General features: G+C 40.6%; 1 protein-coding gene across 3 annotated transcripts in view, besides 3 other annotated features; it reads right to left on the reverse strand.

Moving 5' to 3' along the window:
* The window catches only part of RYK (receptor like tyrosine kinase), a 93727-nt gene extending 74172 nt beyond the window's left edge, over window positions 1-19555 (reverse strand). For all 3 annotated transcript variants that reach the window (XR_007095716.1, NM_002958.4, NM_001005861.3), the window contains exon 1: window positions 19119-19555. Coding sequence is in view for 2 of the 3 variants with exons in the window: in NM_002958.4 (NP_002949.2) it covers window positions 19119-19350 (232 nt within the window). In the remaining variant the exon portion in view is untranslated. The remainder of the gene's footprint in view (window positions 1-19118) is intronic.
* Window positions 18796-19574: an enhancer, noted in NCBI's record as "H3K27ac-H3K4me1 hESC enhancer chr3:133968944-133969720 (GRCh37/hg19 assembly coordinates)". NCBI's record gives its function as "activates a minimal SCP1, AML or CMV promoter by ChIP-STARR-seq in naive H9 embryonic stem cells {active_cell/tissue: H9 hESC(naive)}" and the evidence as "EXISTENCE:reporter gene assay evidence [ECO:0000049][PMID:30033119]".
* Window positions 18796-19729: a biological region, named in NCBI's record as "H3K27ac-H3K4me1 hESC enhancer GRCh37_chr3:133968944-133969720".
* Window positions 18910-19729: a silencer, noted in NCBI's record as "silent region_14752". NCBI's record gives its function as "represses an Ori minimal core promoter by ATAC-STARR-seq in GM12878 lymphoblastoid cells {active_cell/tissue: GM12878}" and the evidence as "EXISTENCE:reporter gene assay evidence [ECO:0000049][PMID:35858748]".

The following is a 20761-nucleotide window of genomic DNA, read 5'->3' on the forward strand; positions in this document are numbered from 1 at the left end:
ACGGGTGGATATAGCCAATTCCTTCCCAGCCTCCTGGGAACATCTGTTCTCCCCAAATTGCTCAAGGTCTCTCTAGTTTTACCAGCCCAAACAGAAACTACCAACTTCAACAGAAACCATGCCTCCTAAGTAGGGAATATTCTTTTTGAACATAACAGAGCAACTTCACAACATTTCAACTGAAGACAGGGCAAAGACTGCAGTCAGCCAACTTTCTCAGGCTTCTAAAACCTAGTTGGACTTCAACTTGTGCTAGTAGCTTAGCACCCTGGCCGTCCACCCCTTATCCCCCTTCAATGATCTACTTCTATACTGTCACCCACTAATACCCCTCTGACTTCCACCAACCTCCTTATCCTTCGGAAGTACAACTTTCCCCTGGCCCTGTGGAGCCCAAAGGGCCCATTCTCTTACCCTCAGTGGACACTGCCCTGGATCGCCATGGCCACTTCAGATGACTGCTTGAGCACCCTTACCCAAAGTTCTGTTTCTTTACAATCATGCCATCAAACTATGCCACCCTCTATCCTTCTCAGTATCTCAGTTACCTCATTCACTGAGGATTCTGGGACCAGTTTATACAAGTTCTATGCACCCCTCTTCTATGTCTCATTAGGGCAGACTCCCAATGTCCCTGAGACTAACCCACTTTCAATCTGCCCTTCAATGTCTCTTTTATTCCTCAACTCCAACAATCTTCATCCATACCAAAGAAACTCATTTCTCATGGACAGCAGCAATATGCGAATTACTCTGCCTCTAAAATCTTGAACTATAGTATCTCAACAGCTAGTAGTTCTTCAGCTCTTTACAATTAACAACAGCTGCTCCCAGGGTCATTCTGTCTCCAGTATCTATAATCCTCTTGTTTCTCCCATTCTATTGTACCAATCATTTCCTCAGTTTCTTCTTACAGGCCTCAACCTCAATTACTTCAATTACTTTCTTACCAGTGGAGGTTTCCACTTTCACCCACCACAGCCTACATCAGACATACACCATCAGCTCAGAAAAAAACACCCAATCTTGAACTCACTCCTCTACTTCCTGTCCTCTCTGGTGCTATAATTGAATGCTGCATAATCCTGGATTAAGCCATTGCCACAAATGACTCACTACAAGATGATGCTTGTACCCTCAACAAATAAATATTTATAAGCTGCTGACAATTTAAAGCCCTGTGATCCAAATGCCTATGAACACCTAATGACCACCAAAATAAATTGTAAATTTAAAATTCACTACCATAGACTGAGGTGTTTAAATTGCAATATAATCATTAAACACAGTTGCTGTTTTCTGACTATAGGTTTTGAAAACACTTGTTTTGAAACAGATACTCCATTCTTTATTAGCTAAGGTAGTTATTTCCAGTTTGAAAAGGCTTGAAAGAAACCAATAAAATTCTGTTCAAATTTTCACGCATCAAATTAGCAAATACAGTCTGTTATATTGTGAGACATGTTTCTGTAACACAGCTTTTAAGTGGTAAGTAAGATCATTCCAGTATAACAAGTGGGTTCACATATTAATTTTCCTAGGCAAGGGGATCTGGAATAGCAGGAATAGAATTATAACTTTCAGTGAGAAAGAAAAAGATCCTCATTTAGCTCAGCTGCTGCCAAGCAGGAGTCCTCTCAGCTCTATTTCAAGAATATTTAAAATGAGCACCTGTACCCAGGACTCCCTGCTCAAAGGAGCATTCCCATCCTTTGCACAGCAAGCTGCACTTACTCTGGTGCCCACCTTTATGGCAACCACATTGGCTAAGAAAATGACTTTCATCTGTACTGTCTCAAGACCACACCCTATATGTTAATATCTCTCACTCTCTTCTGAGGCAACATAAGCCATGCTAAATGGTTTGACTGGGCTGCCCAAGTGATCTCACAAGGTACCAATTATGCTTTTGTTGGTGCTCTGCTTTAATTGCAGAAATCTTGAGTGGCTGGCCCTTAACCTTATTTTTCTCATAAATCCTGTTATTTTTAGTGAATAGGTAAACTTGAAGGGTTTTTATGGAATACATTTGATGTTATAACAGAAATGTTTATATTATTTAAAAATAATACTGACTGTTACACAGGTTATGACACGTAATTTGTGACTCTATACAAAGTTTTATAAATATTTATACTCTTTGACCCAATAATTCCATTACTAAAATCCATCTTAAGGAAACGAAAGACAGACACAAATTTTTATGTACAAATATATTAATAAAAATTAAAACTGAAGAAAAGTAACAATATAAACTACCAGCAACAGAGCAATAATTAATAAACTGTAATACATCCAGAAGATAGAACAACAGTTTTCAACAGTTTATCTTTCTTTGGAGGAGAGAGGTGATACCTCAAGTCATGATATCCTCTCAACTAAACTGCTCCCTGTTCATCTCTCTAACATATTAGGCTTCTTTGAAGACAGGTTTTAATGACCAAATAAGTGACTAAAAAACACTGAAAAAAGACTATGAAGCCATGAACAAAACTGTTATAAATACTGTAGTAAAATGAGTTTTGCTTAGAATATAACAGTAAATGCAAATTACAACATACAAACTGTATACAGCAAATTTCTAACAATGTCTGGCACCTAGAATAGTTCATGCATGTAACAGGTATTCAATAAACATCCGGTGAATCAAAGTTAAATATATATTCATATGCATGTTGTGTTCCACTTTAAAAAAAGGGAAAATAGCAAAATATGTTAACAGTGGTTGAATATAAATAGTGGATTATGGATGATTTTTATTATATGCTTTTATTCTTTTTCTTCTCTTAAATTTTCTATGAAAGTTAAGCTGGAAAAACAATAAAAGTGTTCAAAAACATGTTTAAAGAAATATGCATACAGCTGCGACAACTCATTAATACAAAAATACAACCAACTACTGTCTAAAATAACCCATGAAGGTTGATAAGAGATACAGAAAAGGCCCTCAAAAATAAAATTCAATTTAGAAAATCACATTTGTAACGACATTATCTTTGGTATATTAATGTTAACACCAGTAATGATAAATTATTAATGATTAAAACACTTTCCTCCAACTTTCCCTTAAAATACCCAGTTAAACCAAAGAGCAAAATTTGGCAAAGTACTATAAACTGAAGAGAAAGACCAAAAGAGAAGACCAAAACTTGGAAAAAATTTCCACATGCAACATTTGACAATGGGACTGAAATAAAATTATTGGGTTACCCATGCTATCTGAATGAGAATAACATGGAAAACCCTGAAGATGACAGGGAATGGAACAAAGCTTTAATTTTCAGGAGAAGAGGAAGCAGGCAAGGAATTCTATTTCTAGACAAACTCTCATCATATGCAAAAATAGTACTCAGAAGGCCTCAGGAAACACCGCAATTATGTATTCTTCCCAAAAAGTTTCTCTAAAACATACTGAGAGATTAATAAAACTTTTGTTTTTAATAGGGGATAGAGAACTGTTTTATACTGAGAAGAGCTATGCTTCAGGATGAAGGTATAATAATCATGAATCATCACTGTTCTGTATCAAACTATAAAGAATTTTAAAAACCAAAATAGTAGAAATATGAAGAGAACCAAATATAAGTATGACCATGGTACAAAACTATCAGTCTATGACTGATATTAGCATATAAAAGATATAGTTTATAGGTACAGCCATAATTAATACATCTATCAAGATGGTACTCTATAGGAAATGTGACTTACTTCAAATCATCTGTAAGATATTTACAAAATGTGATCAGCTATAAGGAAAAGCATAATCAATTTCTTAAAGGAAAAAATGTATAGGCCACAATATGACCACCGGGCAATGGTAAGAAGGCAGGGAGTGAGGCAAAACTGAACATACACATTTTTAAGTACCATCTATCTCAAAGAGTTACCTATATTCTTAACCATCACAAATGGTTTCAACTACATAAAGAAAAAACAAGAACATGAAAAAAAATTGAAAATACATTCATCAAAAATTGTCAATGCATGGTTAATATATGGCATTTTTCTTCTTTACAAATATTTTCCAAATAGTCTATAATGAGTATATTTTCTAGTCTATATCTTTTCCTGTATATTTTCCAGTCTATATCTTTTCTTGTATATTTTCCAAATAGTCTATAAATGAGTATATTTTACCCTAATAATCAGGAAATAAAATTAATGAAATAAAAGAATTTTAAACAAATTTACTTTTAGAAAAAGATGAAATCTATAGAGAATATCATACTTTATCTCTCAATTTTAACTCCTTTTTCTTTCCTTCCCCATCATACGCTTGAAAAAAATTAAAAGAGAAAAGCAAAAGACACATAAAGACAGGGGCTAGATAACCTAGTTGTTTCTAATTACTATTAATTATTAGTGTTTCAAATACGACAACAGCAATCAAATGCAGTCTGAAAGCAGGGACAGTGGACAGCAGGGGTTATTACTGTCAGGGAGTGTTAAGCATCACAGAGGTTAAGTGAGTAGTGAGAAATGATTAGAGAGGCAGTGAGGGAAACAATCTATTCAGTAATGCTTTAAGGAACCAGTTCTGTGGCAAGCCAGGAGCAGGGTAACTCTTTATGAGACTAGGAAACAGAGCCTGGTTCCAATAGAAGGGAGTGACTGAGAAGGAAGGTAGGTGTGCTATAGTTAGGAAATTCCAAGGGCTGAGACAGATCACTTCTAAGGTGGTCATTCCAATGAGTGCCTTATTTGGGAAAAAAAAGAAAACTGGGAACTGGGACACCCGCATGGTCAAAGGAAAAAAAAAATCAGGGTAGGTTCTAATATCCCTTTGGGATAAAGGGAGGGAATAAATGAAAATTAGAGTCAGGGAAATAAAGTCACTGAGTATCATTTTGTAGAGGTCTGGTGACTCCAACAATCCTAATGAGTCAAAGGTTATGTAAGTAAAGATCATAGAAATCAAAAGAAAAGAGAATGCTGAGACACTGTAGTGGGCAAAACAATCCAAGTAGGAAAGGAGAGGTATAATGCATAATAAGAGCTGGTCCCTCAATGAACAATCCAAAAAGGAAATTAGAAAACAATTCCATTTACAATAGCATCCAAAAGAATAAAATACTTAGGAATAACTGTACACTGAAAACTACAAACATTGCTGAAAGAATTAAAGACCTAAATAAATGGAAAAACACCCATGTTCATGGACTGGAAGACTTAACACTGTTAATATAACAATACTACCCAAGTGAGCTACAGATTCACTAAAATCCCTATCAAACTTCTGACTCCCATTTTTGCACAAGAGTAAAAGCAGATCCTCAAATTAATATGAAATTGTGAGCAGGCCAAAATAGCCAAAACAATTTTTAAAAAGAACATAGTTGGAGGACTCACACTTCCTGGTTTCAAAGATCACCACGAAGCTACTTTAATCAAAACAGTGTAGTACTGGCATGACAGACATGTAGACCAACAGAAGAGAACTGAGAGTCCAGAAAGAAAGTTACATATTTTGGGCTGATTAATTTTTGACAAGGATGCCAAGAGACAAGGGGGCTGTGCTGGAAAGCAGACAAGAACAAGAATGGACAGCCACGAACTAAAGAGGTAGCATTTTGTCATTAGAATGCACAGAATTTTTAAATTCTGATTTAGGATGAAAATACTTCAGCTGTTCAGTTACATTAACCAGACTTAAATTTCCCATTGCCAATTCCAGCAAAGGAAAAATGTTGCTCTCTTGTTAGAAAGCATGGCATTTTTTCAAAATTTTATTTTTAAACAACTCAAATTCAAAGCTAAAAAACCAAAGTTATTCTTGCAAAACTCTTAAGGCTTATCAAAAAAAATTCATTTTTCCCTAGACGATTTTAAGTTCAAATTTATTTCAAGGTCTGTGATCCACATGAACTGGCCTAACTCAAGTTCTAATAATTCAACAGTTCAAAAATTTTTTCCAAATGATTTTAAAAGTTGACTATTGGTTTCTCAAAGCTGTACATATGGTTCATTCGTGCTAAATCAGCAAACCATCTCTCTTTATTTTAAAAGCCACCTTTATAGCACTTAACAAAACATATTTCAGGGAGTTGTTTCAAATGTCCATCTTCCTATTACCTTGCACATCTCACAAACAAGGCTGGGGTCTTAGTTTACTTGTAACTACTTAAATATTAGATGCATGAATGGCTGGCTGTCGATAAAAGTCAACTACATCAAAGATGGGTTTTAAAGAAAATGGGTTTTAAAGAAAATGATACTTTAAAGAAAATGTCAAGAACCATTAGTTAAGGCAAAAAAACAAAAGTGATGTCATAGAAAGAGAACTAAAGCAGAGTTCACAGTTCTTACTTCCCTTCCCCTGGCTTCACCAGTAGGTAGCTGAATGACCTTTGGCAACCAATTACTTAACCGCCCTCTCTAGACAACAATTTTCTCAACTACAAAACAAAAAAGTTAAACCAGATGATGTTAATGTCCCTCTCCTCAGCCGCAAAATTCTATTACTCTATGATATCATCCATGGTTTCCTAGTGTCAGCCAAAACACTATTATTTTATTATATCATCCACAGTTTCCATATGCCATTTAAACCTTAAGTAAAAATTCATTTAGTCAAGATAATCTTCTAGATTCTGAGGACAGTGGTAATATGAGCCATTAATCAGAGAAAAAACCAATATCACTTAACATGTATTAAACCACTGAATACATTTTAATGAATGCTAAAAGGAAAGTAAACAAGGAGCTCTTATTTCAAATGCTCTTAGGTTATGGAAAGTAACAAGCTGAAATCGATAAAATAACAGTTTGTTCATCAGAATGTAATAAATCTAGCTGTGGTCATATTATGCCTAGAAAATTAGCTGAGACCTAATGTTTAACTACATTATAAGACAAGGAATTAAAATATTAGACTGTAGAACAGGGGCATCCTTTCCCCATAGTTGAATAAGCATGTAAATCTTCAATCCCATAGCTGTTCAAGCAATAATCTGTGGATTAAATATGATTTTTCGTGTAATTCTCTGCCACATTCTTCAGCATTTCCTCATATATTTGTCCTGCAACCCTAAGTGTCTTGATAGAACTGTCTTGAGAGTGTATGTTCATACACAGAAAGGAGGATTAGAGAGAGCTTTCCAGAGAAAGAACGTATGCATGACCAACAACAGCAGACAACATAAATATACCCCTTCTTCCCCTCCGTCCTTCAGACTGCCTTCTTTCTGCCTAAAGAAAAGCAGGTAAGCCTACCCTTTTGGTCCTGATAGGTGGTTTAGAAATCAGCTTCAAGAAGACATGGAAGGGAATCTCCTGTTCCTCCCAAGGAAAAGCCAGGAATCTGCAGGCACTAACTTTTCCTAACTGTGCCACTTCAGGAAGTAAACATGATATGTCGTCAAAATCAACACAGAACAGGCACAAATGTTAGAATACAAGCAAGGACACTGAAACAACTATTATACCTGTACTCCACATGGTCAAAAAGTTAAGTAGAATCATGGAAAATACAAAAAGACCCAAGTCAAATTGCTAGGGCTGAAAACTATACTGTATATAAGATGGAAAATAGACTGGATAGGACAGCAGGTTATGCATTTTGGGGAAAAAAAATTAGAAATTGTATTTCCTAGCTTTTCATTACTGATAAAGGCTTTTGCCGGAATCTCTCTTGAATACTTCACATCCTCCAATTGTAGCGTGGGCCAACAGTCTATTGAGAGACTGCTCTGTGCCAAGCCATAAGGTAGCCTCGGTGCAGTAGGGGAGAGACAAAATATGATGGGTGCAGTGATACAGGTCTGCTTATGCAGGGTATGGAGCTATGGAAGTCGACATGGGAGGCGCCTTACCCAGAGACAGCAAGGGAATGGGAGAGGCAAATTAGGCAACTCCAAAGAAAATAAGTTATCAAGACCAGGCATAGTGGCTCACACCTGTAAACCCAGCACTTTGGGAGGCCAAGGTGGGAGGATCCCTTGAGCCCAGAAGTTTCAGACCATCCTGGGCAGCACAGGGAGACCTCATCTATACAAAAAAAAATTTTTATATTAGTGGGGTATGGTAGCTCACACCTGTAGTCCCAGCTATTTAGAGGCTGAGACAGAAGGATCACTTGAGTCTGGGAGATCAAAGCTGCAGTGAGCCGTAACTGCATCACTACACTCCAGCCTGGGCAACAAAGAGAGACCCTGTCTCAAAAAGGGGGAAAAAAAAGAAAAGAAAAGCAGCTATAAAAAATTAACATATGTAAACTTCCATTAGTAAGTATAGCTTCAGTCTAATTTCCCTTTTGGATAATAACTAAGCAGGCCATGGGAAATGATCAACAGAATGATGACTCCAGTAAGGCACAGGATAGTGAATTTTTTTGTAAGTATGATTCACTTGTTTACTCATTTGTTCCACTTTTAATGAAAACCTACTACATGTCAGATACTGTTTTAGGTGCTAAAAATAGAAAGTGGAACAACCTAAAAAGTGTCTATTCAAACAGAACTTTCACTAAAGGAGATGGAAACAACCAAAAAAGTATCAGATGCTTAAAACAGTGTGATAGCACAGAGAGGCACTGGGGATCAACCCTAGGAAGATGAGCCTCTCTGGGGAATTGACATTTTAAGTTGAGATCTAGAAAGTACCAGCCATGTAAAGATTTGGGGAAAGAACGCAAGGCAGAGGTGCCATCTAATGTAGACTCCAGGGTGAGAAGGAGTCTGGCACCAAGGGAACTGAGTGGTGCAGGGAGGGGCAGGGATAAGAGTGGATCCAGGTCGTAGGCAAGAAGAGTCTCTACATATACATTTACATATTTATAAATCAGGAAAAGCTCAACAGCTTAGATATTTGATATTTATAAATTCTTAATTTCTTAATAATGTGCAATAATGGTTATTTTAGATTTTTTAAGAATTTCTTTCAGATATACATATTGGAATATTTTTATGAAATTATGTCTAGATTTGCTTCAAAATAATCTAAGTAGAGGATAAGGAGAGTGAGGGCAAATGAGTGGAGTAGGGGTAAGGTGGTAGAGATGAAACAGAATTGGCTATGAGTTGAGAACTGCTGAAGCTGGATGACGGGTATACAGAGATTCATTATATTATTATGCCTTATTTTGAATTTTTGAAATGTTCCATAATAAATACATTTTTAAAGCACCTTATTTAAAATATAAGGGAGGGAGTATTTATAAATACAAATGCCCCATTCACAGGGGACTTTTTAAAGGTGCAAACTACTGTCTATGATACTGTAGTGGATATAGGACACTATGCATTTGTCGAAACCTACATAACTTTTCAACAGAGTGAATCTTAATATATGCAAATTTTCAAAAAAATTCATGTAGGAGGTCAGATCTTAGGATGTAAAACAGAATATGACATATACCAGTTTTTGTGACACTCAGGTGTACCCATTAAGCTTTTCATCAGGAGTCCCTCAAAGGCCCCAAAAGTCTAGAGGTCCTAGCACAGTATACAAATTTTAGTATGTGTGGACATTCATGCCTTTTTCTAGGGAAAGGGCCTAAGGCTTTCACAAAAAAAGGCTGAGAACCACTGACATTTCTCCTTGCCTGCAGCTTCTTGGCTGAAAAGTAACCTTGCTATTGCTCTTAATCTAATGACAATATCTCATTCATTTTATGATTTCCCTGCAAGGGCATTACTACACAGCTATTGCTGTAAGCAAATAATAAATACCACCAGTGAATTTTACAATTCTGAAAGTTGTGACAAACACATGCATATGCACATAAAAAAGGTGGAGGCCTGGTATGGTGGCTCACACCTGTAATCCCAGCACTTTGGGAAGCCCAGACAGGGTTGGTGGGGGAGGGAAATCACTTGAAGTCAGGAGTTCGAGACCAGTCTGGCCAACATGGTGAAACGCCATCTCTACCAAAAAAAAAAAAAAAAAGATACAAAAATTAGCCACGCGTGGTGGTGCACGCCTGTAGTCCCAAGCTACTCAGGAGCCTTAGGCACGACAATCGCTTGAAGCTGGGAGACAGAGACTGCAGTGAGCTGAGATTGCACCACTGTACTCCAGCCTGAGAGAAAGAGCAAGACTCTATCTCAAAAAAAAAAAAAGAAAGGTGACAAACTATGTATTTAAGTTCCCTTTACAGTATCACCTTTTTATAATATCATATTTCATTTAATCTAAAGTACATCCTTATTTTTTGTGCCACTAAGAAAGAAAAAAGCTATTAACTGATGACTCTCCCCACTGATTATAACATGGTTCTGATTTCAGAGACGTTCAAATGTGGAAAACCTGTACCTCCTGTAATTAATTAAACATGGCATTCAAAACGTTAATTTACCTGAGCCCCATCTCAGATCAATTCAACAAATTGCTCAGGGTAGGTCAAGGAATCTGTAGTTTGTTAAAGCTTCTCAGATGATTTTGGTTAAAGACTAAGTCAACTGTCAACCTTCAAAGGCAGCACAGTAGAGAAAGCACGCACTTTGGAGTCACATAGCCCCACACATCTCTGTGACCTACAGCAAATTCTGTTAATTGCCCACAACCTCAGCATCTCAGCTTTATCTGTTTAAAAACAAACAAACAAAAAACAGTCAATGCCACCGACTTCCTATGGTTGATAAAAGAGAACATATGTAAAGTACCTGGCATACAGCAAGATACGCTCTTCCTCCTCCTCCCTAAATTACAGGTGATCCCTAACTAGAGACTTGTGTGCTGTCTATTCCAGCTTAAAATTTATATAAGAATGAGAATGAGGCCGGGCAAGGTGGCTCACGCCTGTAATCCCAGCACTTTGAAAGGAGGCCAAGGTGGGTGGATCACCTGAGGTCAGGAGTTCAAGATTGGACTGGCCAACATGCTGAAATCCCATCTCTACCAAAAATACAAAAATTAGCTGGGAATGGTGGTGGACGCCTGTGATCCCAGCTACTCAGGAGGCTGAGGCAGGAGAATTGCTTGAACCCAGGAGGCAGAGGTTGCAGTGAGCCGAGATCATGCCATTACACTCCAGCCTGGGTGACAAGAGCAAAACTCCGTCTCAAAAAAAAAAAAAAGATAAGAATGAGACCTATGAAATCCACTCAGCATTATCACTGCTGAACACACAAAAAGAATCATTCAACAACTGTTTATTATGTAACTGAGCAATACACACACGTTTATTTTGGCACATTTTAAGAGGACCTTCACAAATGAATGCTGTTTAATAAAATTTTTATTAGAAAATATTGCACTTGATTTACATCAACAACGCACAAAAATGTATACCTTTAAGTGTGACATAATTTTAGAGTAGCTAATGGTTCTGTTTCATGTACAAGTTTTTGTTTTGCTTTAGGATGTGTAGCTGGCAAGATTTTTCAGAACATTGGCGTAACTGCATCAAAACACCAAAAGTAATGCTATGGAACTTCTCAACTCAGGTGCCTGAATAAATACTCACATGTTTGATTTGTCCCAAAAGTGATTCTTAAAATCCAAACAGCATTTTAGGCAGCACCTTTGGAATTGACCAGTCAACTCAGGATGTGACTCACAGGGGACAGGTTTAGCCATAATTGGATAGAGTTCTCTCACATGTGTAGCATGAGGAAAAAAAACAACCCTCAAACCCACAATTGCACAATGTCTCTGCCTGTCTCCCAATGAAGAACACATGGATTCAAATAAATACCAACTCCACCAAAACGCCTAGGGTTAAGGATTTGCTGCAGAGTGCTAACCTCCCAAAAACCCACCCAGGATCTGGGCCCTCTGGCAGGTTATGCCAGACTCATGGGCAGAGGACACCTTCAACCCTCCACCCCTCCTCCCCACCAAGCATGGGCTCTGAGATTTAGGAGAGAGGGGTGCTGGGAGGAGAGGAATACATGGTTCATCTCCTTTTTCTTTCCCTTGACCAACCACTTCTCCCAAAAGGAAAGGGTCCTTTGGTTCAGTTGCCCAAATCTGAAACCCTAGATTCCTCTGTGACTCCTCCCCTTTCTTTAGCCCTAAAGTCTCTTCTACTAAGTCTTCTCCAAACTCACCAAATTCCTCACAAATCCATCCCACCCCTTCAACTGCCTTAGTTGATCCCTCTTATCATCACAAGGTTGGCTCTATCTCATTTCCCAGATCCAGCATTTCATTCTCCAAAGCCATCCTTTTCACTGGGGCCAAAGTTATCTTCCCTATAACCCAGACCTGACTGCGCACTCTCCTAGTCTGCATTCTTTAGCAGCTCACTGAAGAATTCACCTGTAAGAGTTCAAATTCCTACTCTAACCTCAGCCTACCTTCCAGCTTTATCCTGTGGCGCTCCATGGCTTTGCTAATTTTTCACCTCAGCCACATTAGATTTTTCCTACCCCACAATTTCACACAGCTGCTTCCACCCTCTATGTCTTTGTTCACACTACTTTCTCAGCCTGGTATGAACTGCTCTTTTCTGCCTATCAAATTCATCCTTCAAGATGAGGCTCAAATGTCTTTTTTTTCCCTGGGACAAGTTTCCTAAACTCTCTAAGCCTGTCTCCCCTCCGCCCTTTCCACAGTCAAAAGTAAGTGCTCCTACAATAACTTATGTCAACCAGCAATATAACTCTTATCTCTGTTACAGTCATAAATGCAAGTCTCCCCTACAAAATTCTGAGATCTTCAGGGAAAGGAGTGTAATAATTTTGAATTGTCATTTTCTACCACAATATATGGTACTTGGTTTAGCTTCAAAAAAATTTTCTGGACTGATTTGGGACACAGTGATTTCAACTAGTATTGACTTGATTTTAAATAAAATGTGAACATTCTTGACTTTTCCAGAAGATATTTATTTTAAGAGGAGAAGCAAGTTATCCAAAGTTAATTTCTAACTGGTGGGAGATGGGGCCTCTTCCCAAAAGTCCCCCTGACCCCTATCACCACCACCACTGTTGGCATAACCAGTTTATACCATTCCCCACCCACCCACCAGCATGTTCTTCCCAAGCTTCTGGCACTGCCCAGCCATATGCCACCTTCACAGGCTCCGGAATTCCACAGAGCTCAGTACAATGAAAATTATCAATTAAAGAACATGGGAGGATGCAAGAATAATTAGCATAATAATAAAGACCACAAACAAGCACCTGTGGCAGGAGGCTTGCGGTTCTACTCTTTGAGTTTTTGGTTAATTGCACTCCTCCAGAGCTGATAAAGAGACAGTATGAATTCAGGTCTCAGGCAGGACTGAGTCAAGACCTGGCCTTCTACTCACTGTCCAAAAGGCCCTGAATCAGGGTCCTCATCAGTAAAATGCAGAAATGAATGCCTACATTGCAGCCTGTTATGCAAGTAACAGGCTTGTAAATGCAAGCGATGAACCAGGGCCCAGGAACACAGGAAGGCCAACCAGAGTTTAAAAGCTTCTGAAGCTTTCGGTGTTTCAGAACTTATACACTTCCATCAGGACCGTGTGCCCTACTACTACCAAAAAACCAGGCTAGTCATTAATACATACCTACTCTAAGATTATTGTTTTCTCATTTCTCTGTGTCACCCCAAAATTTCTATGTTGAAATCCTAACCACTAAGGGATGGTATTAGCAGGTAGGGCCCTTTGGGAGGTGATTAGCTCATAAGAGCAGTCCTCATGAATGGGATTAGAGCCCTTATAAAAAGACCCAGGGGAGCTCGTTTGCCCCTTCCACCATGTGAGAACACAGGGAGAAAGCAGTATCCATAAACCAGGAAGAGGGCTCTCAGCAGATATCAAATCTACCAAAGCCTTGATCCTGGACTTCCCAGCCTCCAAAACTGTGAGAAATAAATCTCTGTTGTTTACAATCCACCCAATTTATGGTACTTTGTTACAGCAGCCTGAGCAGACTAACACTCATCTATAAAATGGAAATGACAGTACATAACACAGGGATGACCTCTATGCCCCACACAGACAAAAGACAGCACTTTTAAAAGTGTCAACTACTACTACAACCACCATTAACTACTCGTAATATTGTTCATATAAAAAGACTGCCACACGTCATCTTCAATAGTTAAACCCAAACCCTAACTGCCATTTACACATTGTGGAATGACCATAATCCCTTACCTCCATTTCCTTCCAAAATTCCTCTAAAATGATAGTTTAAAAAAAAAAAATCACAAAGACATCAAACCATAAGGACAAACAGAAAAGGAAAGACAACATGCTTTTTTAAACAAACTTTTGCAAGATGGCAAAGTACTTGAAGGAATGGTCACTGCCCCTCAGGACCTCCAAGAGGCTCAGGTCTTGAGGCACCAAGGAGATGCCAAAGGCTGATGTGAGGCTTAGCCTAGACAAGGGGGGAGCCACCGAAAGAGGTGTTCAAAGCTTTTGGATCCCCAGTTCCAGCAGGAAACCCAAAGTTTTTTCTGAAGAAACTGAATCACAGTGACAGGAGAACTGTAGCCAGAAGTCGAAGGCTACAGCCTCCATCCCTCCCTCAGCCAGGTAACCCAAACCCTGGCAGCTGGCATATCACCAAGCATACCAGAGGCAGGAGATGATGATTTCTTCATTGTGAACACTGGCCCCAAACGAGATGTAAAGGTGTTGATATTCGGGGCAGACTCCCAATGAAAAGTCCACCTGAACTCACAAGTCACTAGACCACCAATACACACATGTTCTCTCCTCTGCAATCAGCTCCTCAGGATCTTTTTCTTCATTATAGACAGTCAAGGATCACCAGATATTTATGACTTAAACAAACAAAGAAAAGATCCCTGAAATGAATAACCACACTGGAGGAAACAGAAGAAATATTAAAAATATATTAAACACAAAGAAAAAATAAAAATACACACATCAGAGATAAGTAAAGATAATACATCCATAAAATAAGATGCAATGAAATGGAAACAGAAAAAGATTCTAAAATTTAAAAACATGATCATTAAAATTGAGAACCATTCCCCCCCTCCCACTCCTTCCAGTACAAAGAAATACGTAAGACATGAGATTAGTTAAGAAAATTTAAAGATCATTTGTAGTGGGTTCAACAACCAAACCAACAGACATCTCAGAAAGAAATACACACACACACACACACACACACACACACACACACACACAGAGAGAGAGAAAATAAAGGGTGGGAATTATTAAAAAAAAAAAAAGCATTTCTGAAAACTAAAAAGAGTCTCTAGATTGAAAGGACCCACTAAGGTAATACAAGAAAGAAAAGGAAGAAAGGAAGGAAAGAACCAACCAACCAACCACACAAAAACTTATAAAACTTCAGAATGCCAGAGAAAAAGAACCTGAGCTTCAAAAAAACAGAAAAAAAGAGGCATCAGAATGGCTTTGGACTTTTCATCAAAAACCCTTAAGACAGAAAACTGTGAATATGCCATCAAAATTATGAAAAAATGTATTTCTACTTAATATTTTAAATTCAGCCAAACCATCTATAAAGTATGAGGACAGGATAGATACATTCAGACATTCAAGGCCTCAAGTAATTTATCTCCCATCATTCCTTCCTAAGAAGCTACTGAGGATACATACATAGTAGCAAAATGAAGCAAACCAAGAAAAAGGAAGACAGGAGATCTAAAAAACAGAGGTTCCAAGACAGGAAAGAAGTAACAGGAAGTCCCAGAAAAAATAATCGTACTATCTAGATTGGAGCAAGAGGATGGAATGCTCCAGACCAAGAAGTCTCTAAGAGGAAACCAAGTGGCACTGATAGATGATTTAATGTGCTACCTGGAAAAAAAAAAAATCAAAAGGCATTTAACATACTTCTTGGAGTAGTTGAGGGAACACAGCCAAAGATAAATAGGTAACGAATCAAAACGCAATTTTGATAAAATGCAATTATTTGCTGTGGGAAAAACAAAAATGTATAAAAAAAATCATAAGTCACTATTTAGCAATACCTGTGTACACAATAATGTAAATACTGCTATTTTTACAAAAAAGTTACGTAACTACATTGGAGGATTTAAGAGAGAAATGAGAAAGAGCTCAGTTATGATACTAGAAAGTCAAAGACTTATTCTACATTGATTTAGAATGACGAAAGTAAAAAAAGAGGAAGAAAAAATAAACAGACCTAGCTGAGGTAGTAGCTACCCCTGGAAAGTAGAGCCTGAGGGATAAAAAAGACAAAAGCAAGAGCCTGCTGTGTTTGTCAAAAGTCTTTTAAGCCGGATGCGGTGGCTCACACCTGTAATCCCAGCACTTTGGGAGGCTGAGGTGGGTGATCACCTGAGGTTGGGGGTTTGAGAACAGCCTGACCAACATGGAGAAACCTCGTCTCTACTAAAAATACAAAATTAGCTGGGCATGGTAATGCGTGCCTGTAATCCCAACTACTGGGGAGGCTGAGGCAGGAGAATCGCTTGAACCTTGGAGGCAGAGGTTGCGGTGAGCTAAGATCATACCATTGGACTCCAGCCTGGGCAACAAGAGCGAAACTCCGTCTCAAAAAAAAAAAAAAGCCTTTTGGTTCTCTTAAAACTATATGCATATATTAACTGGATTAAAACAATTTATTCTCATATCAAGGGTAATTAGTTCAATTTATAAAGTTGTCACTATCAACTTCATTTATAAGTTTCTTACTTGGAACTCTAAACTGTCTTAAAAATATTATAAAATAATGGTTCGTTTCCTATGCCAGCGTTCAGAAGGCACAAAATCTGTAGTGATTCTAAAATACGGTGCAAAGCTACTATTCCAAGAAGCCTTAAGTACCATAACAGCTTCTGTGAGAGACTGCATTCTGAGAATTCGGAGTGCCTTGTACACATCTCAGTACACATCTCAGTCCTACCCACTTGGCTCTTCCCTACCTGGAGGAGCCAAGGAATTATTTTAAAGGTAGAATGTATGAGGGAGATGGGAAGGGATGGAAACAACGAACCTGAATCTGGCAGGATGGAGTGACTAGAGATCCTCTGTAACAGGTCAACCCTATTTGCACTAGAGAAAATACTACTAGAAGTCTCTCTCGCCCCCGGGGATAGACAAGGGAGTTAATTGAAACAATGCTTCCTACCCTCCCAGCAACAGCATTTCTGGGCATAAATTGGATGCTCATCAAACAGGAGCTTCCTCTGCTGCAAATACTGCTAAGAAAATTAGTTCCAGGCCAACCTTTGAATAAGGTAACAAATATATAACTCAAGTGCTAATTAGCAATGATTTATTTTCCACCATGACATAATCAAACTTCTACAGACAAAATCTTCATTTCATTCGATAAAACTTTGCAGCCTATGTCAACACTGTTTCATTTTTTTCAAAAATATGAACTAGGCCAGGTGCGGTGGCTCACACCTGTAATCCCAGCACTTTGGGAGGCCGAGGCGGGCAGATCACGAGCTCAGGAGTTCAAGACCAGCCTGACCAACATGGTGAAACCCTGTCTCTACTAAAAATACAAAAAATAGCCAGAAGTGGTCGCTACTTGGGAGGCTGAGGCAGGTGAATCACCTGAACCCAGGAAGCAGAGATTGCAGTGAGCCGAGATCACGCCACTGCACTCCAGCCTGGGTGACAAGAGCGAGACTCCGTCTAAAAAAAAATTAACTGTGTGACCTTGAGCAAGTTACTTTAAAACCCCACTTTCCTCATCTCTACAATAGGCATAATGCCACCTACCTCACTGGGCCCCGAGAAAATTAGAAGAAATTATGTGTATAAAGCATGTAGGGGCAGGTATATGGCAGGAATTCAATGTCAGTCCCTGGTTGTCTTCTGTCTCCTACCTACACCTCTGACTTTGTTTACCCATGTAAACAAAGTCACAAGCTATATAAGTGCTTTTAACCAAAAAGCCTTTACAAAACCATGCATAATACGTTAATATTTCTAAAATTAATGTGATATGAGTCGTCTTGTATTATTTTTCCTAAATCTTAGTCTTGTGTTCCAAGTACTACCCCAAGTAGAGTTTTAATTCAGCTAAACTACATTCAGCTAACTCAGCTAGACTAAGAAGGATTAAGAATGAGCACGACTTCATAAAAAGAGCATTCTTCTTTGGCTAAAAACTGCAAATCCGTACATGTAATGTCTAAAGAGTCTGCTTTCAGTAATTCCATTTCTACACTGAGTCAATCTCAACACACCTCAACAAAGTCTTATTACTTAAAAAAAAATAGAATACTGACAAATAATGGATGCAATAGAGAATAATTTTTCCCCTCAAACACTCAGAAGCACCACCTTCAGATGAAATAAAGATACTGCCATAATAACAAAAGAATGCAAACGTCTAGGTACCAAGGACTTCCTTTTTGGGGGGTCGTTCCTGTCAGATCTTCCTCTAAGGGGTCATTTCCAGAATCCACAAAGTCCTAACATAAGACCCCAGCAATTTTTCAAATTAATTCCCCAAACAACAAAGCTAAGCAAGTAAATGGAACCACAAACCGACCCAAGACTAAGTTCTTGTTTCCCTTCAAGATACTCAAAAGTAGGAGAGTGGCCCAGAAGTACAGAGTCAGTCCAAACTCCCAACACACCCAATGCAAAAACCAAAAAGGTATTGAAACTAAAAAGGTCTGCTACCTGGCGATTCATTCACTAAAAATATGCTTAGAATCTAAGCATATGCTCCAAATCTACGTCCCAAGAGTTGGAGGCTGCCACGAACATTTGGTGCCCTTATAACCTCCCCTTCTTTCTCTCTCGTTTTTTTTTTTTTTTTTTTTTTTTTTGTAAAAGGGTAAGCACAGAGCGTGGCCTCTACTGGAGCATCAAAACCACAGCAAAGGGTTTGCAAGTTCAGTCTAAAACGTGAATTTCGAGATATTCAAAATCGAGGGCCCTAGAGTGACACACATAGAAAGCGTCAAAAAAACTTCGTGCAGCAAGGAAAAAAAGTTGTAAGGGTGACTGACTCTTCTAGGGAGAAGGGCTAAGGAGGCAGTGAGGAGGATGGGATGGGGTGAATCTGGGTCTATCGCGGCGGGGCAGCGAGGGCGGCACGAAGGCTGACCCAGAGCTGGGGACCGGGCAGGGACCACACCTCCCAGCCAGCACGGCAGGCAGAGACCGGGCCGCGAGGCGAATCCGGGCGCGGGGGGCGGGGAGGGTACTCGCCCGAGGTCCACGGCTCGCAGACTGATCCGCCGGCGGCCGGAAGCTGCCCCAGCCGGCCCGACCTGCCCGCCCCGGCCTCGGCGGCCCCACTCACCGATCAGCCGGCGCACCTCGTCCTCGCTCAGGTAGAGACTCACGCTGGGCCCCGCGGAAGCCGACTGCAGCTCCGGGGGCCGCGGGGCGGGGGCGGCGGCAGCGCCAGGCGCGGGCAGCAGCGGCAACAGCGCAAGCAGAAGCAGCAGCGGCGGCGGCGGCGGGGCCCTCAGGCCGCGGGCCCCCGGGAGGCAACTCCGGCCCGGCCGCCCCAGCCGCGCCGCCCCACGCATGGCCGCCGCCGCCGCCGCCGAAGAGGAGCGTCGGCCGCCCGCCGCACCGCCGCCCACCCCCGGCCCCGAGCCGCTCACAGCCCCGAGCCGGGGGCGGCTGCCCAGCTCATCGCACCGCCGGCCCGTGGCAGCCAGCAGTGGCTTCAGACCTCCGGAGCGCGCCGCCGCCGCCGCCTCCTCGCTGCATCGTCCGGAGTTGGGGGCTGCCCGCGGGACGCGCCCGTGCGCGCCGCCGCCTCCCCGGGAGCGCGCACGCACCTTTCGCTCTGGGCGGGCCGGCCTGGGCAACGCGCTGGGGTTTTAAAGTGCCTCGGCGGGCGAAGGGCTCGGGTCACCCTCTCCGCAAGAGCCGGTCCCCGCCCCACGCGGTCACTGCGTCTAATGTTTGCTTGTCTATTGTCTGTAACCCTCCTTTCCCGACGGACGGGCCAGGCTGGAGCCACCGGCCGCGCCTGCAGCTCAGTGGGCGCCCCAGGTCCCCGGAAACGCCTGGATGCGGCCGTTCTGGTTGCGAAAAAGCAGCATGCTTTCCTGTTTAGTGGGAAAACTCAAATAAATAGAAATCATCCTTTATCTTACCATCGGTGATCAACTTTATCGTTTCCGTATCTATTATTAGAATTTATACTACATATATTTGTTTTCCAGAAAGATCTTAGCACGCTTTACTAACCCTATTTTTACGTTACAAAATTTTATTTATTTTTATATTTTTATTTATTTATTTTGAGACGAAGTCTTGCTCCGTCACCCAAGCTGGAGTGCACTGGCACGATCTCGGCTCACTGCAACCTCTGCCTCCTAGGTTCAAGCCATTCTCCTGCCTCAGCCTCCCGAGTAGCTGGGATTACAGGCGCCCGCAACCATGCCCGACTAATTTTTTTGTATTTTTAGTAGAGACGGGGTTTCACCATGTTGGCCGGGTTGGTCTCGAACTCCTGACCTCACGTGATCAACTGACCTCGGCCTCCCAAAGTGCTGGGATTACAGGTGTAAGCCACCGCGCCCTGCCAAATTGTTATTTTTTTTATAATCGTTCTGCATCACTATAATCAACCTGCCTTTGGGGTTGTTAATCTGTGGTCCATACCAGGCTTCGACAGCCTTCCAATAATATGAAACTGTGTGCAAAAGTGTATGTGTCTCCGTGCGTATTTGTGTCCACGTCCATGTTTCTGTGTGTTGTGTGTATGCTTGATTGCACACAGAGAGGTGGTATGTCATCATTTGTTCTAGGGAGTCCTTGTGCCCTCAAAGAGGTTAAGAACTGCAGATAGACCTCGTGTACTTAAAGGCGGTGGAGCCAGCCAGTGCATGGACTTCCGGGCCTCCTGATGTATTTTTGTGAGCCGCCCACCATCGCGGTCAAACTTGCACCAGTGCCCCCTCTCTTGGTGAGGCTCCAAGGGCC

The sequence above is a fragment of the Homo sapiens genome, chromosome 3 (assembly GCF_000001405.40).
Source record: "Homo sapiens chromosome 3, GRCh38.p14 Primary Assembly".
In the NCBI taxonomy this organism is placed as follows: Eukaryota; Metazoa; Chordata; class Mammalia; order Primates; family Hominidae; genus Homo; species Homo sapiens.